Raw genomic sequence first — 16732 nt, 5'->3', positions numbered from 1 at the left:
GTGGGGGCAGTGCTTGCAAATCCATCTGGATCCTGGACACCCCACTTGGTGTTGCTGCAGCCAGCTCCCAGGCCTGCCCACCTGGAGTACAGCCAGCGCCAGCAGCGGGCAGGGCCCGAGAGAGCTCTTAAAGCCATGTCCCAGGAACGGTTGAGGGAACTGAGAATGTTCAGCCTGGAGTGGAGACACCCCTGGGAAGCCCAACATTGTCCTCTGTGCGGTCATGTGGCCTTACTCTGCTCGGAACAGGGAGGCCTTGCTGTTGGAGCTGCCGGGCCAGATGGGCTGCGTGGGCTCCTGGCACAGGCAGAACTTGGCTGACCATTGGCTCCCAGTGCCAGCCAAGGCTCTGCAAACACCCGAGACCCTGATGGAGACTCAGGCTTTGGGAGCACCTCCTAATGAGCTGGGGAGGATACTGTGTTTTCTTCCCAGTGGGGGGTGACCAATAATCTTAAAGTTTTTTCCCTTTCTCCAGACGTTCAGCTGTGGTCCGCACTCTGGATTGCTCTATCTGCCCTGCGGACTGGATAGAGGCTCAGCGTAGATGCCCAGCTGACCTGACATTTCCTACCCATATTTCCTAGTGTTTCAGGAGCAGGCAGAGACAGACCTGATTCCTTTATCTCGGGGCTTTCAGATTACGGAATAGAAGTCACACTAGGAGGGCAATCAATAAAGAGTATATTTTGCTGTACAGATACCAATATGCACATATAAGTGCCTACAAGTAAAATCTGGGAATGTTTTTGATCTTAAAAACATTTCACAGTCATTAATCTTCACGACGCTCCTGCGGGCTGGGTAAATAGAGCAATTCCTATTTTATGCCAGGAAGAAATATTGAATTGCCTCCCCCAAGTCATAAAGAGGCTGTTTTTCCTCCTTGTTCCTGTGACTCGCGGTGTGGGGGGCCTGGGGCGCCTGGAACCCCTGCGATCCGCTCAGACTGACTCCAGGACGACTTCCGGTGTCCTGCGCGACCTTCTGTTGCGGGGAGCGCCAGTCCGCCACACCTGGCCGCGCTCTACCTGGAGGGGGCGGGGTCTCCTGCATTTCCCGGACCGCGGGGGTGCCCCACCCTGCTGCAAGGACGGGCCTCCTGGCGTCCGGGCTTCTGGGGTCCCGGGGTCCCGGGGTTCCTGGCTCCCGAGCCCCAGGTGAAGCCCCCTCCATCCCTGGGGTTCGCCCCTCTCCTCCCGGCGGGTGGACCTGGAGGCCCCGCCCCCGCGGGCCAGAACACCTGGCGGCGCGGCCCCGCCCCAGCTGTGCCCTCTTCCCCCCGCAGGGCACTTGGCGGCCCCACCCTGGCCCCTCCGCGGGCCGCGGTATCTGACACCCCCGGGCCCCCCCACCTCGCGCCTCGCCTTTACACTTGTAAATGGAGCCGCTTCCCGCCGCGGGGAAGTCGTTGAGAGGTGTGAGAATGGGCCCTGCCCCCTCCCCCCGCTCCGTGCCCACTTCCTCCTTCCTCCCGCTGGCCTTTGTGCTGGGCGGGGCCGCTCGGACCCGGGGCGGCGGGGGTCCAGCTAGACGCCGCCTCAAGCCAGCAGGGTCGCCGGCCCCTCTCCGGTCCGCGAGGCCCCGGCAAGGTAGGAGCCTCGAGACCACGCGGGACACCAGGTTGGCCCCCAGCCCGCACTCGAGGCTCAGAGCAGGGGCGGGGACCTGGTTGCACCAGGCCAGAGCCGCCTCCACCCCGCAGCGGTCGCGGACTCCGGGCACTCATGGGGACTCCTGGGGTCGTGGTGAGTGGTGAGGTTCGTTGATTGACTGCGCGATGGTGGCTGAGTTGCAAGCAAACGGTAAACAGCGGCATCATTTCCACTTGACCGGCTTGGGATCTCGTCTCCTGGGCAGTGTTTGGGGGTGACCACGGTTCTTGGATAACCTTCGAATCTGGGTGTTTTCCTTGTAGTACAAATAGCGCAGTGGCAGTTGCTGTGGGAAACAGCGAGGGCCACTGAGACCTTCAGCAGAACTCCACGTCGAGGACGAGTGACATTTGCGCGCCTCTGCTGCGTTCTCTGCTGTTCACCCCGGCGGCTCCCAACACCTGAAGCCTGGCGAGGCATGTGACTAGAGGTTGTCCGAGCGCAGAGTGGTAGGACGGTGCGATCTGGCCCGTTTCGTCTTGCCCTCGTCTTCTCCATGGAGGAATTTCTGTGTTCGCCTCTATGTTTTGCAGACTTAATTTGGTGCTCCAGAAACTTATGCAGCCATTCAAGTGCGCTCTACCTGTTATTCAAGTAACTAGAGAGCAACCATTTCTTGAGCACTTACTTAGTGTCTGGCACTAGCTCGCTGGGCCATTGTGTGTTGTTGCGTTGCCCTGACTCTTCATTGGTAAAACAGTGACTAACTATCACCTGTGCCTCTGCGAGGACAGCGCTGTGCTTGGCCAGGGCTGGAGAGCCGATCTCAAGGCAGGTGTCTGGCCTTTTCCTGGACATAGTGAGTCTGTGATCCAGAGTCTGACCCACGTATTCAACGGGGCCTGCCTCAGGCTTCCAAACAGGAGCCAGGCTGTTGTGAATATTCACTCCAAAAGTGCAGTGAATGTAAAACATCCTAGAGCAGGAAGTGAGGCAGGCCCCGTTGAATACGTGGGTCAGACTCTGGATCACAGACTCACTATGTCCGGGAAAAGGCCAGACACCTGCCTTGAGATCGGCTCTCCAGCCCTGGCCAAGCACAGCGCTGTCCTCGCAGAGGCACAGGTGATAGTTAGTCACTGTTTTACCAATGAAGAGTCAGGGCCAGGGAGCTTAGGTAATTAAGTCTGGCTAGTTACTACCAACTTCGCCTGGCTCTGGCTTCTCTGTGGCTGACCGAGGCTTCTTGTGGCCTTTGACTGGGACACGGGAATGTCTGGGGATGGCTTTGCCACACTAACCAAGACTAGACTCCTTCTTTCCTCCCAAGCTGTTTCTCCCTTGCCCTCATCTGTGTGTCTCTGATGCAGCACCACCCCACACTCCAAGAATGCATGGGCACACTCTCCTGGGGTTATGTGTGTAGCTTTCACAGTGCTTAGGGTTTCATGTGGTAAAATTGGATTTAGTGGCCAGGTATCATTTCATCAATAGGTAAGACCATGTTTGTGGTCTGGGATAGTGTGATCTCAGTTGCCCTCCACCCCCCATCTCCCTCGAGGGAGGGCTTGGGTCCATGGGATGCACCCCTCCCCAACTCTGGTTGCCTCTGGCATTCAACTGGAGCCATGTGCACACCTGAAATAGGATCTGGTTTGTGGGTTCCACGTTGGGGAGTTGGGGGTCAAGAGACAGGGAAGATGCTTAGGATTTCTCCTAACTGTGATAGTCTGTTTGCACCACTCCTGTGAAAACCAGGGAGAAACTAGGTTTTGCCGGGTGAACTTCCTTTGGGTCGCTCCCCTGCATCCGTGTGGTGTGGGCCTTAGAAAGGAATTTGAATTAATACTCCTGAACAAAGGGAACAGCCTTCTTTTCAAAGAGGCTATCAGAGAACTGACAGGGAATGGCACAGAGTTGGGTGTGTCTTCAAATCCAGAGACCAGCCCCGCTCCACCGGAAGAGTACCCGGAGCAGGTGATGCGGGAGCTCCCAGGTTGACCTTGGCTTTCCATAGAGGGTAAGGTCCCCACAAGGTGAAGGTTTTCCTGAAAAACAGGCTTTTCTTTATAAGATTACCTTCCTATTCTACAACCCTTCTCTTCTTTTTGTGAACACGTGTGTACACTTGTGAGCACATGTGTATTCTGGAAATCCTTGGTTTCCGCTGGGGCTCTGGTGGGGCCGGGGGTGGTGTGGATGTTGGGTGCCCCCCGCCTCCATCTTGGCCTTTGGATTCTGCTCTGTCTTGTGGATGACTCAAGGAAGTGCTGGGAGGAGTCTCTTGACAAATCAGTCATGTGAGTCCCGGTGTCCTGGCTCACCTCCAGCTTGGGTATGAATAGAGTCAGCCCATTTTAAGTGCCCCCTGCAGTTTTTAAACAGGTCTCCTTCCACTTCACTCCACCTGGAAGAGGGTGGTGGGGCCAGGATCATCCCTGGGCCAGCCCTCTCCTTTCTGTGGTGCCTCACTGGGACACTGAGAAGGGGGAAGCTGCTTTCTCAGAGGCTGTTGCTTGGAAAGTGGCATCTAAGCATGAGAATGACTGCGGCGTGCAGGTTCCCATGAATGGTCATTTCCTGTGAGCCGGGCCTTGTGAGTGGTCTTCCAGAGCCCATGTCGTGTCTATGGTGTGTCCCCTGTCCTGTTCCAGGTTTCAGGGATCCTTTGCGCTGGGCAGAAGATCCACTGAGCTGGCATCCAGGTTCCTCCAGCAGAACACGGCGCAGTGGTGGACCTGCCGCAGCTCTGAGGCCAGCGAGCCAGTTTTCCCCAGCACCCTGTTTCCCAGCCCTAGCATCTTCAGAGTGTCCATTCTCCTCGCTCCTCCACGGCGCATGCTTTTCACTCAGGGTTGAGGATTCTTTTTCCTCCACTTGCACACATCCTTCTCATTTCTCAGCTAAGCCTGGGATTAAGAATGAGGCTTCAAGTGACAAAAGCCAGGAGATTTCACAATTAAAGTTGGAATTGTGTCTGCAGTGATGTCTTCCTCAGCATTTAAGGAAGGCCTTGAATAGTGGGTAATATTTTTCTATCCTAAATTGGCCACATGGCTCCAAATAGTGGGCAAAGGAAGACACTCCTGTGGTAAATTCGAGAATGTCTTAGTTGAGGCTCTCATGTCCGTAGAGGATGAAGGGAGGGGGGTTATGACTCAACCCAGTTGTGCTTTTGGGTCCCTGGTTGTGTCCCAGTCAGGCCCGAGAGCTTAGAAGCAAATCCCGTATGTTACTTGGCCCCTCAGAGCAGTCTTTTAAAATATTTCTCAGCAAGGAAGCTTAAAAAGGAGTTTACTTTCCTAATTCTCTTTTGTTTTCTAGAGCAGCGGGCAAGGTGGGAGGGAGAGCCTGGGTTCGCTGTGGTTAGTGGGAAGGGGGCTGCAGCAGCACATGGACCACCTTTTTGGTCACGCCTGTAGCTGGGAGTTTTGCAACCTGGTGGTTACTTGGCATGTCAGGGTCCTGGCTCAGATCCAAAGTTTTGCTCTAGGGGCCCCGGCAGCGCACTTTGAAAGCACTGAGCTAACTGCTGTGCTCACTTTGGTGGCTGGTGACCAGAGAGGTCCCACTGGAAGGTCGTGAATGTCTTTCTTCCTTTCAAACACTGAGGCTCGGCCCAAGGAGAGATGGTCCTGCCCTCCTAGAGCTTAGTAGAGGCAAAACAAGGAAGTGTGGCAAAGAAGGGATGGAAAGAAATGCTGGACTTCTCTCCCACACTGGGAGGCCTTTGCAAAGGGCTTCGGTTTCTGAATCTGTAAAATGAGGGTAAGGAGAGGGTGTGTTGTAAGGATTCAATGAAGTAGTGTTTCTAAAGCCTTTAGAACTGGCCTGACGTACCGTATGTGTTTGTTAGAATTTTTTTTTTTCCCGAGATGGGGGTTTCACCGTGTCGCCGAGGCTTGGAGTGCAGTGGCGCAATCACGGCTGACTGCGGCCTCGACCTCCCGGGTTCAAGCAATTTTCCCATCTCAGCCTCCCAAGTAGGTGGGACTACAGGTACAGGGCACCACACCTGGCTAGTTTCTGTATTTTTTGTAGAGATGGGGTTTGCCATGTTGCCCGGACTGCTCATGAACTCCTGAGCTCAAGTAATCCTCCCTCCTTGGCCTCCCAAAAGTGTTAGGATTACAGGTGTGAGCTGCCAAGCCTGTCATGGTGCTATGTTAAAAATACCTGGAAGATGTCGTGCCCTGTGGTAGGGAAGGGGAGTGGCTGGTGGGGCTGGCTTAGTTTGGGAGCAGCCGTCTTCTTTCTCATTGATTCCTGGGGCCCAAAGCAATGAACTGAAAACTGTTCACGAGGTTAATTTTAGTCTGTGGGATGTTACTACGTATTAGGTCACTCCAAGAAACGCTCAGTAAAATATTTACTTTCTATTTAAGACCTACTTTCTCTTCCTGGAGAAGGAAGAAAAAAACTGCCTTGCCTGATGGGCAGCCAGGGTGGGGGCCCAGTGCTGCCCCAGCCACCCTGCCCAGGTGAAGCCTGTTGAGAAGGGTCGCTCAGGTTTGAATTCTCCTCTACTGAGGCCTCAGTACATAAACCACAGTGAACGTGGGCATGACAGGCCACATTCCGAGGAGCATATTTGTTGAGGAAAAGGAACTGTGTCTGCCCTTCCCTCTGTGCACACGTCATCATCATAGCTCCCTTCACCCTCCCAGGTCCCTGAGGAATGGGTGCGTTTGCCGGTCAGTGACCAGGGCTGTCGACTTGCTTGGTGGCATCCTGTTTGGTTTCTTGTGGGTGCTCAGTCAGCAGCAGCTGTGGTAACTGGACCAGGTGCAGCTGGGTGGCAGATCTGCTGTGATGTTTGAGCATGTTCCTGACCCCAGGCCCTGGCAATGGGGTGGTAATTAATCATGTCCTCCTAGGATATTCATTCACAGATACTGACTGAGCACCCACTAGGGGCCAGGCACAGTACGCATGTGCGTACAGCATCACCAAATGTCTTCTGATTGAAATGTTCAAATATCTTTTCTCCACCCAGCCAGTGTTAACTGCTCTGTGCTTCCTGTGGGGCTCCAGGTGTGAATAGTAGGTCATGTGCGTGAAATGGCAAGGTGGGGTAAGGAAGGTGCCTGTCCGGCAGTTAGTTTGTCACCTTCAGAGTGGGCTGGTCATTTCATGGACCAGCAGTTTCTTTGGATTCAACTCATGCTATTAAAAAATCTCACTTGGAGGCCAGGTGGGGTGGCTCATGCCTATAACCCCAGCACTTTGGGAGGCTGAGGCAGGTGGATCACCTAAGATCAGGAGTTTGAGACCAGCCTGGCCAACATGGCAAAAACCCTGTCTCTACTAAAAATACAAAAAATTAGCCATGCGTGGTGGCGCGCACCTGTAATCCTAGCTATTTGGGAGTCTGAGGCAGGAGAATTGCTTGAACTCTGGAGACAGAGGTTGCAGTAAGCCAAGATCGTGCCATTGCACTCCAGCCTGGGCAACAGAGCAAGACGCTGTCTCCAAAAAAAAAAAAAAATCTCACTTAGGGCCGGGCATGGTGGCTCACACCTATAATCCTAGCACTTTGAGAGGCCGAGGCAGGCCAGTCACCTGAGGTCAGGAGTTCAAGACCAGCCTGGCCAACATGGCAAAACCCTGTCTCTTCTAATTAGTTTTGGAGAAATTGATTTTGTAGATTATATTTTAGTCTCTTCTAGAAATACAAAAATTAGCCAGGTATGGTGGTTGGCACCTGTAATTCCAGCTAATCGGGAGGCTGAGGCAGGAGAATCACTTGAACCTGGGAGGCAGAGGTTGCAGTGAGTCGAGATCATCCCATTGCACTCCAGCGTGGGCAACAAAAGCAAAACTCTGTCTCAAATTAAAAAAAAAAAAAAATCTCACTTGGAAAAGCAAAATGGTCCTTGAAAATGCCCTTGGGAAACCACCCATGCTGGAATGCAAGGGCATCTCAGCTGGCCAGGGACCAGGGGTCTGGGGCCAGAATGTCATATTCTTCAATTGCAAATCCTGGAGAGTGTGCACAATGAATAAGATGTGGGAAGTGCTCCCACGCTAGCTGTTTGTTACCATTATTATTATTAGGGACGGTGGTGCTGGTGGTGGTGGTGGTGATAGTAGTAGGATTCATGGCAATCCCAGTAGTTATGGTGGCGTGAATGTCATTGAGAAAGACAAATCCTCCCGTCAACTGTGCCTTCTTCTTCCTAGCAGGGAGTGGCTGTTTGTGCCCTGTTTTATCAGGAGGGAGCAGATAAGTGCTAGCAACCTTCTCTGGCCCCCTGCCGTGCCCTGCCCTACCCTGCCCCAAGGGACAGCAGATACCTTTAATACTACGAAGCTTGGGTGGGCTTGGTGGTTTTCACGAGTGACTCAGTCAGTCCCCAGAGAGGCCCTGGTACCTGGGGTTGGGGGTGCTCAAAAGGTTGGCTTCTGGAGCAGGGGCGTCCCCAAGGCACCCCTGGCCAGGAGTCTCCTGAGGGCCCCACCCTTCGTCCCGATGGAGAAGCCCTAACATCTGTATTTTTAGCCACCTCCTCCAGGGGGTGCCTGATGCAGCCAGCCCGAAACTGCCAACAGCAGCACACAGACTGGCTTTCTTCAAAAACAAACCACTCCCCCAACACACACCCACACACTCGAGTCTAGTTATTGAACATTTGGCATGAAAAATGGTTGAAAGAAGATTTTATATAACTCAAATAACCCACTAAATTATTTGAAACTTGGAATATGGATTTCTGCTGTACTCATCCTCATTCTTTGAAGAGGGATTCTCCACCCTCCAACATTACCAGGCATTTCTAGGAAGGCAGAGGAAATTTCCTGGGTGTCTGATAAAATTGGAGCTAGTTCCGTATTCAGATGCACTTGACATTTCACTCTTGACCGGGCAGCAGTGTGTATTGAGATGAGGCTGGGCAGTGTCAGAGCATACCTGCTAGAAAAGAAATTGGTTTTGCAGATTATATTTTAGTAAAATCTGAACTGCTCAGTGAAGCACACTATTACTATCTATGTACACAAGTCAAAGATGGATGCCACAGAGTCGATGTTTTTAACATTGGCCCGTGTGAGCAAGAACATGGATCAGCAAAAGGTGCATTTACTTCCCACTGCAGGCAAATATGCTTAACCTTCAGGAGCGCCCCCGAGGCCCTCACTTGTGCCTCTAGCCTGTTTCATCATGATGCAAGCGGATTTGGGAGTGATACCTGCTGTTTTAGAACTGAGAGTGAACTCGTTTTGTGGCAAATCCTTTTTATCTTGATCGGGGAATTTATTAATTAGTAGGCTTCAGCGAGGCTGGTAACCTAGCTTGTTTCTGTTTGCAGAAGTACTTTGTTATACATTGGCTTATTTTATTTTTAGTAACAACCCTGTTGTGAGGCAGTGCGATTATTTCCCACTTGAGGAATTGGCAAGCCGCATAGGCTGGGCTCACAGTTAATTAATGATCGAGCGAGATCCGAACTGGTTCTCCTCCACCAATACCAGGCCGTCCAGAGAATGGTTGTGTATTCACATGACCCCATTCTAGGGATGAGCGGGTGGGTGCAAATTCGAAGGCCAGAAGGGAAGCAGGAGAATCCAGTTTCAAGAGTCTGGAGCCTTTGGTGGGAGTCCCCCGGGTTGAAAGGTGAACTTGAAAGAGCATCCACGGGTGTCCTTAGATGAAGAAGGATTTAAGGGACTCTGTTTGCCCCTTGATATGAGGTTTGTAACTGGGGTCTTGAGCAGAAAGGAATTGCTCTTCTTGGTTTGAGTGACTGCTTTCTGGGGAGCGTCTGGGTGCTTTTTGAGTTGCATGCAGAGCCATTTATGGTGAGAGAAATTATGACCTGACTAATTGGCCCAGGGCTAGGTGTTTTGGGGCTCTGCACTGAGGCCTCTGTGCAAGGAGCTTGTCTGCTTGAATATGGAAAGTGATAGTCTTTGGGGCCCTGGCAGTTTCTTTTGGGGCCGCTTTTGGACTTGAGTTAGCAAAGAAATGACTTTATGATTTATGGTGTTTATGAAGAATACCTATCTGTTTTCACATAGACATCTTAATAGAGATTAAATACAAAATAAAGTGGAATGCATGAACGGAGATATTCCCATAAGCAATATTGTAGTTTTAGGCAGTGTAATTATGTTTTGTACACTTCCCGATTAAGCAGTTATGCATTACTGGGGAAACTACCTTTTAGAGATTTAGAAAAGCTTTAGAATTTAGTAAATCAAATAAAAATAGGTATACAATATTTTAGACATAGGGTTTCAACATGTTACATGGTGTGATAATGCAGTGCCATTGAGGTGAATTTTTTCTTTTTTTGAAATGGAGGCTCACTCTGTAGCCCAGGCTGGAGTGCAGTGGCGAGTTCTCCGCTCACTGCAACCTCTGCCTCCCGGGTTCAAGCAGTTCTCCTTTCTCAGCCTCCTGAGTAGGTGGGATTACAGCACTCCCAGCTAATTTTTGTATTTTTTAGTAGAGACAGGTTTTCACCATGTTGGTCAGGCTGGTCTTGAACTCCTGACCTCAGGTGGTCGGCCTGCCTCAGCCTCCCAAAGTGCTGGGATTACAGGTGTGAGCCAACACACCCGGCCGGCTGAGGCGAATTTGCTTCTTCTGAACATTGCCTGTGGAATGAAGGTGCACCCCTACTGTGTGCGGGATGTCGTGGGGGGGCTGCCGGGCTACAGGGAAGAAGAGCAAGGAGGGTTTATCTGGAGTTCAGCAAAACAGTGGTGGATTTCCGCGAGCTGGGGTGGGCAGAGGTGGCCACATTAGGTTTGGAGTTAGGCTGAAGGGGGTGTGCTGAGGGTAAATGTGGGAGAGGGAACCCAAGGTAGGAGCCTTTCAAGCTCGCGTGTCCTTTCAGCTCCCATGTCCTGGCCACTAAACCACGGGAGGTAACGAAATGATTTTCCCTGAGTAAACCATCTGAAGCGGAGCTGCATCTCAGGCAGCCTCTGCGAGCATGTGCTTCACAGAATCCTTCCTCCTGGTGTCTTCTGGGTGTTGCTGATTTCAAGGAAGCCTGGTGGGGTGTGTGCTGGCTCAGCCACCCCTCAGTTGCAAAGCTCTTGGGGGCCGCAGAGGATTTCACAGTTCACTGCATAAAGCAAGTCATTTAATTTTATCATTTGCTTTTTGAGAAGGATCAAGTTTTCAAAATCCTATGTAGAAATAACTTATATACAGTAAAACACCCTTTAGCATGCAGTTCTGCAAGTCTTGACGATCTAGGCGTCGCCACCGGGTGGTTGCGGAACCATCCCATCACCGAGGAAAGTTCTCTGTGCTCCTATGGAGTTCCTGCCTCCCCGCCCTGACTCCCAGCCTCCAGCCACCACTAAGGAAATCACTCCTTTTTGATAGTAGAAGGGCCAGCCTAGGAAGTGCGAGGAGTTTGGTAGATGCTGGTGTGAGAGGCCAGTAATTTCCAGGACATTTGTAATATCCAAGGATTATGCATGAGCCCCAGGGGTGCTCTGGTCACAGCAGATGGACTTGGCTTGGATGACACCCCTCCTCTCCCCAGTGCCATCCTAGGGATGCCTGAGACTCCAGGAGCTTGGCTCGTCTGGACAGGTCGGACCAAAAGCCAGTCACTGCAGTCTTGAGTCGTGTCTGAAACCAGCAGATAACCACCTCCTCCGCAAAGTAGGCAAACCGCCCCCGTCCCCTGCAAACCCAAGAGTGGGCAGTTCTGGGCCACACCTGCAGGCCCTGGTGCATCTAAGGCCATGCTCCCTGGGCTCCCCAGGGACACTCACAACAGCTGCCTCTCCACACTGTGTCCCACCAGCCCCTCTTGGAAAGTGCCTGGGAACAGGTGCCTCTTCGTCCGCCATAGCCGCTGGCTCCAGGTCCAGAGGGACTGTGAGTGACTGCCAGGCCAGGGCCGCTTTCTCCTTTCTCTGTGGGGGAAGTGGCTTTGGAGGGAGCCGGGCAGTGTGCTAACCGTGTGCATGTCGTGTGTTTGCCGCGTGCTCACTGTGTACTTGCTGTGTGCTTGCTGTGTATTTACTGTGTGCTTGCCATGTGCTTACTGTGTGCTCGCTGTGTACCTGCTGTGCATTTGCCATGTACTTGCTGAGTGTTTACCGTGTGCTTACTGTGTGCTCGCTGTGTACCTGCTGTGTATTTGCCATGTACTTGCCGTGTGTTTACTGTGTGCTTGCCATGTGCTTACTGTGTGCTGTCTCCCTGCTTCCTGTTCCGTGCTCCTGTGACTTCTGGGTGGTCTGGGGTGGTTGAGCGCCCTCAGGTCCCCATTTGTTTTCCTGAAGGTAGAGACCAGTCAGGATGGCCACCTTTTTGTGGTCAAGAAGGGTGGTTTGTGGAAAGCCCAGAGGAATGAGAGCTTCTGAGGTGGGGAAGGTCAGCTGCCCCGAGGCTGGTGCCGGCCCCGAGGGTAGATGGCCATGCTTGCAGTCCTGGGCTCCACTTTCAACCCTGCCAGCTCCTTATGCGTCAAATAGGACGCTAGTCACTAGTTCCTCTCACAGGAGGAGGTAATGAGAAGGCGCTGGAGACTTGTGCCCAGGTGCCCAGCAGAGGAGATGCTTGGCAGGAAGTCCCTATTGCACTCTGGGATATAAGCTGCAACTGACTCATTGCCTCATGGTTTTTGTTTTTATTTTTATTTATTCTTTTTTTTTTTTTGACAGAGTCTCACTCTGTTACCCAGGCTGGAGTGCAGTGGTGTGATCTCAGCTCACTGCAGCCTCTCCTCTGCCTCCCAGGTTCAAGCGATTCTCCTGTCTCAGCCTCCCGAGTAGCCGGGATTACAGCCAGTCTGTCAGGCCTGGCTAATTTTTGTATTTTTAGTAGAGATGGGGTTTCACCATGTTGGCCAGGCTGGTCTCAAACTCCTGACCTCAAGTGATCTGCCTGTCTCGGCCTCCCAAAGTGCTGGGTATGCAGGTGTGAGCCACCATGCCCAGCCACGTCATGGTTTTTAATATTCTTTTTATTGTTTTTTTGACACAGGGTCACACTGTCACCCATGCTGCAGTGCAGTGGTGTGATCTTGGCTCACTGCAACCTCCACCTTCTGGGTTCAAGTGATTTTCCTGCCTCAGCCTCCTGAGTAGCTGAGATGATAGGCACCCACCACCATGTCCAGCTAATTTTTATATTTTTTGTAGAAATGGGCTTTTGCCATGTTAGCCAGGCTGGTCTCGAACTCCTGACCTCAGGTGATCCACCCACCTTGGCCTCCCAAAGTGCTGAGATTACAGGCGTGAGCCACTGCACCCGGCCCTTGATATTATTTTCTTTCAGTTGGGAGAAACTTGAAATGAGTCTTGGAATTTATAAAATTGTTAAGTGGGGATCACTGCATTTGCTAATTTTCTGGTCGTTGCCCGAAATGTCCTTTCGGAGCTCATTCTTTGTCCCCTTCCCTCATCACATCAGTCAGGCTGAGGGCAGGTTTAAGCGGCAGTCATCGTGATTGGCCAGCCCTGACTGGCATTCCCGTGATCTCGGTGCATCTTGTATGCGTGCATTTGCAGTATGAGAAAACCCTTTGATGCCTTTGAGCTCAGACTAAATGTGACCTTGATTCCTGGCCTGAAATTAATGTCTAAGCATTCTTGGCTTCTTCTGGGTGGTCGTCTGTGAACAAACTGCCATGCAGCGAGTGTGATGGAAACATACCCTCCAAAGACATACATAGCTTAGCAGATTTCAGCGGGGCTTCCCAGTGTAGTGTGAGGACACTTGGGTACATGGGGTTAGTAGCTGAAAGGTGGGTGGACACCCCATCGTGTCTTTATTAAGGGTTCAGGGACAGTTCAGCAAGGGTTGGGGAAGGGGTGTGCTAGACGCTGAGTGGAAGTTGCGAATGTGTGTGGCCACCGGTCTGCTTTCGGATGGTGAGAGCAAAGTTCTTTACTGTCTGGAAAGGTGATCTGGGGACCTTTTCACAGGTCACCAGCCACCTGTGCTCTGTGATGTGCAGCTGTGAGCACAGTAGGGTCGCAGTTCTAGGCAGCCACAAGGCCTCATGGTGTCCTGGATACAGGATGCTTTCCCAGAACCCTTCTGGGGCTCCACATCTATCTCCACACTTTGGGTGGGGAAGTTGCTTCCCTTGGGTGGATCCAAAAATTCCAGCTGACTTGGAGGGAAGTGAGTTGAGAGCCCCTCCAGCGGTGCTTGCTCAGGTGAGTAGCTTTTGCTATTACATGCCCAGGCCCAGCTGGCCTAGACTGGAAGCTCCCAGAGTCCAAAAAACAGGGGCTAATGAACAGTCGAGAAAAAAACAAGGCAGACAGTCTTTTAGGGGTGTGCAGTATTAAATCACTTTGAAAGGGGACCACTTAAGAAAATCCTCTGCCCTCATTCAAGAATATTAGAAATACATTAATTTGGTGGAATAATTATAATAGTAGCTACCATCTTTTTTTTTTTTTTTTTTTTTTGAGACAGTCTAGCTCTGTCACCCAGGCTGTACAGTGATTGTACAGTGGTGCAATCTCGGCTCACTGGAACCTCTGCCTCCTGGTTTGAAGCAATTCATGCCTCAACCTCCCATGTAGCTGGGATTACGGGTGTGCGCCACCACACCCGGCTAAATTTTGTATTTTAGTAGAGACAGGGCTTCACCATGTTGGCCAGGCTGCTCTCGAACTCCTGGCCTCAAGTAATCTCCCCACCTCAGCTTCCCAAAGTGCTGGGATTACAGGCGTGAGCCACCTCGCCTGGCTAATAGTATCTACTGTCTGTTGAGTGCCAGGAATGTGCCAAGCAGGGAAGATGGAGATGTATTTGGTAGATGCATAATAGTAATGGCTAATGCACCACTCACAGGCTAGAGACAAAGTAGACTCAGAGAAGCTCAGTGACTTTCCCAGGAACACACAGCTCTTTGGCAGCTGCTGTATGGAAACCACAGTGGGACTCATCAGAAGCCGGTTCCTTTGCACAGTTAGCCGAGTGAAGAGACGGACGGGCACAGGTATGTTTGGAGTTCTTAAGTTCGTCATCTTGCACCCAAGAATCAAGGTCGCAGGGTGAAACTCTGTAGTTCTGGAGCCTGAAAGGCATTTGACATCCTGGCTGGAAACATACATTTTTGTTTTACATTTATTCGGGTAGTGGTTTGCTGGTCTGTTTTTTTTTTTTTTTTTAACCATTTGGCTTGGAGAAATTTTCCCTTTGGTTATGGTAATTACCCTTTCCTGATATGTAAATTGATTACAGCGGCTCTTTCCAATCTTACACATTTGATTATCCACGAGCCTCCTTCTCTGCCTCTTAGTTAATCTTATTTTTAGCACAGTCCTTGAAACCTCAGCGTGAGACTGTCCATCTTCCGCTGTTTCTGAACTGCCGAAGGTCATTTTCACCAGCCCCACCAAACGCGGATGTGTTTCAAGTCAAACACAGCCATTTGAACCAGTTTCAAACAGTTGCCTTTCAAGTGTCAGCGTGGTGGGGACAGGACCTGCCGCATGAGGTCCGTGTTGCTTGGGATAGTCTCGAATCACCCAGCGTGACTCCGTTGGCTCCCTTGGTTCAGTCGGCTCCAGGATGAGTGCACTTGACCAGAAGCTCCGGCGACACTGAGATTATAAGGGAGCCAGGTGAGCGGAGGCTGCGTTGTGGACACCAGCCAAGTCTGGGTGGGAGGAGGCACCGGGACCTATCAGCAACCTGCCCTGGACTTTGTTTCCTCATGTGTGTGTCTAGGGCTTTGCGGATGATTTGCTCCAGATGGAATTAATGCTGCAGTTGTTAGAAGAGCATCTCTGGCTCCGCTTCTGAAGCTAATCACCACCTCTGTTTTTGTAAGTTAGTGAGAGGAGCGTGGCTGGCTATGAGGGTGCAGAGGTGCCCCTCCCGCGGTCCCCTGGGGTCTTCTCTGCATCTGAGTCTTCTCAGAGGCCACGTGAGTGAGTAGCCCCAGTGGACTCCGGATGTTTTGTGAGCCTTACCTCGATAAGAATAAAAACGTTTTGGTGTGTGATTTGATTTGTTTGCTAGAAGATTAGTACAAAAGCAGGAAGGAAAAAGAACGTGGTGGAGGTGATTGCTAGAGGCTGGCAGAAGGTTATTTACGGATTTTTGCTGACAGTCCTTGTTGAAAGGAATTCCCTGTGAGATTTATGAAGCCTTTCCAATTTATTGTCTTTCCAAGTAAGGTAAGCAAATAAATAAGTTATTCTATTTTATTATAAACACAGCCAATGTAAAATTAAAAATAAGAGGAAATGGGGCTCCATTTTTTCAGCCTAGTGTGTTTCAGGAAAGCATCTTGGAGAGGCTTTTTGTTTTGTTTTTGGCTCCAGCACATTGTGCATTTAAAAGATAAAGTCGGTGCCTTGATGTTGTATGTGCAGGTCACCATCCTTGGAGGGAACTGGTTGCAGCCTTGGTGGGGTTGACAAGATGGTGAGGACAGAGGAGCTGGGATATTCAGGACCAGCCCACCAGAGTCACCAGGGACTCCCAGGCCCCTTGGGAAATAAGGCTGAGGGGTTCCCGAGACTCTGCTCTGGGTTTGGCCACAGCCGCTGCCCCCAGAAGGGACTCTTGACTCCTGAGGCCCACGTCCTAGCAAACTGGTGACATCTTCCTGCATCCTTCTTCCTGTTGTCTTGATTTCTTTGTCTCTTCTCCTTAAACTCAGAAATTGTTGGTGCTTTCAGTATCTTGGCGAATTGTGATTTTGTTGATACAGATGTGTAAGGACCCACATGGGAAATTTAGATTTTTAGGTAAAGAACAAGCAGGAATATGAGACCTTGTCGTAAACAAACTTCTCGTTTTCGGCGGTGATGTCAGTGCTGAAGATTTGGGTGGGTCAGGTTTGGTGACCTGTGTCCCACCAAAGGCAGCTCCTGCTCCTGACACGAGCCCGGAGCCCATTTGAAATCGCTCCCGGCTCTTTCAAGGCCCTGGGCAACGCCATCAGGGAAACATCCTGTTACCATTTTGGGAGAATGTTTTACGTCTCTGCCCCTAGATGTCCCTGTGCTAGTGAAGCTGTTTTGGGGGGACTAATAGGCAGCGTTTGGACGGTGTCTTGTAACTGTCAACTGATGACTTCAAGTTCGTTGGCCCCTGCTGTGTAGTAGGTGCATGTTGAAGATAGAGTGAGTCACATTCTCTGCAAGGGTTTGTTTTAGGAGCAAAAGAGGCCTAAGTAGGGAGGCTTGGA

At 51.3% G+C, this 16732-nt stretch overlaps 1 protein-coding gene across 26 annotated transcripts in view, besides 5 other annotated features; it reads left to right on the top strand.

Annotated features, from left to right (window-relative positions):
• Positions 1–16732, top strand: part of CTBP2 (C-terminal binding protein 2) — a 178147-nt gene that overhangs the window by 9098 nt on the left and 152317 nt on the right. For 2 of the 26 annotated variants that reach the window (XM_047424666.1, XM_047424670.1), the window contains exon 1: positions 1532–1592. The exons of 21 other annotated variants lie outside the window; for them this stretch is intronic. The gene's annotated coding sequence lies outside the window, so the exon portion shown is untranslated. Of the gene's footprint in view, positions 1–1084; positions 1161–1531; positions 1593–14969; positions 15156–16732 lie in introns of those variants that run through there. 3 more of the 26 variants (XM_047424676.1, XM_047424673.1, XM_047424669.1) reach the window with 2 other exon arrangements.
• Positions 926–1887: an enhancer, noted in NCBI's record as "NANOG-H3K27ac-H3K4me1 hESC enhancer chr10:126840048-126841009 (GRCh37/hg19 assembly coordinates)". NCBI's record gives its function as "activates a minimal SCP1, AML or CMV promoter by ChIP-STARR-seq in primed H9 embryonic stem cells {active_cell/tissue: H9 hESC(primed)}" and the evidence as "EXISTENCE:reporter gene assay evidence [ECO:0000049][PMID:30033119]".
• Positions 3772–4066: an enhancer, noted in NCBI's record as "tiled region #360; K562 Activating DNase unmatched - State 14:Gen5'". NCBI's record gives its function as "activates a minimal TATA promoter and a strong SV40 promoter by Sharpr-MPRA in K562 cells {active_cell/tissue: K562}" and the evidence as "EXISTENCE:reporter gene assay evidence [ECO:0000049][PMID:27701403]".
• Positions 8105–8214: a silencer, noted in NCBI's record as "silent region_2923". NCBI's record gives its function as "represses an Ori minimal core promoter by ATAC-STARR-seq in GM12878 lymphoblastoid cells {active_cell/tissue: GM12878}" and the evidence as "EXISTENCE:reporter gene assay evidence [ECO:0000049][PMID:35858748]".
• Positions 14528–15126: an enhancer, noted in NCBI's record as "H3K27ac-H3K4me1 hESC enhancer chr10:126826809-126827407 (GRCh37/hg19 assembly coordinates)". NCBI's record gives its function as "activates a minimal SCP1, AML or CMV promoter by ChIP-STARR-seq in naive H9 embryonic stem cells {active_cell/tissue: H9 hESC(naive)}" and the evidence as "EXISTENCE:reporter gene assay evidence [ECO:0000049][PMID:30033119]".
• Positions 15127–15725: an enhancer, noted in NCBI's record as "H3K27ac-H3K4me1 hESC enhancer chr10:126826210-126826808 (GRCh37/hg19 assembly coordinates)". NCBI's record gives its function as "activates a minimal SCP1, AML or CMV promoter by ChIP-STARR-seq in naive H9 embryonic stem cells {active_cell/tissue: H9 hESC(naive)}" and the evidence as "EXISTENCE:reporter gene assay evidence [ECO:0000049][PMID:30033119]".

The sequence above is a fragment of the Homo sapiens genome, chromosome 10, assembly GCF_000001405.40.
Source record: "Homo sapiens chromosome 10, GRCh38.p14 Primary Assembly".
NCBI classification, from domain to species: Eukaryota; Metazoa; Chordata; class Mammalia; order Primates; family Hominidae; genus Homo; species Homo sapiens.
The sequence above is the reverse complement of the archived record's forward strand: the minus strand, read 5'-3'. Positions and strand labels throughout refer to the sequence as shown.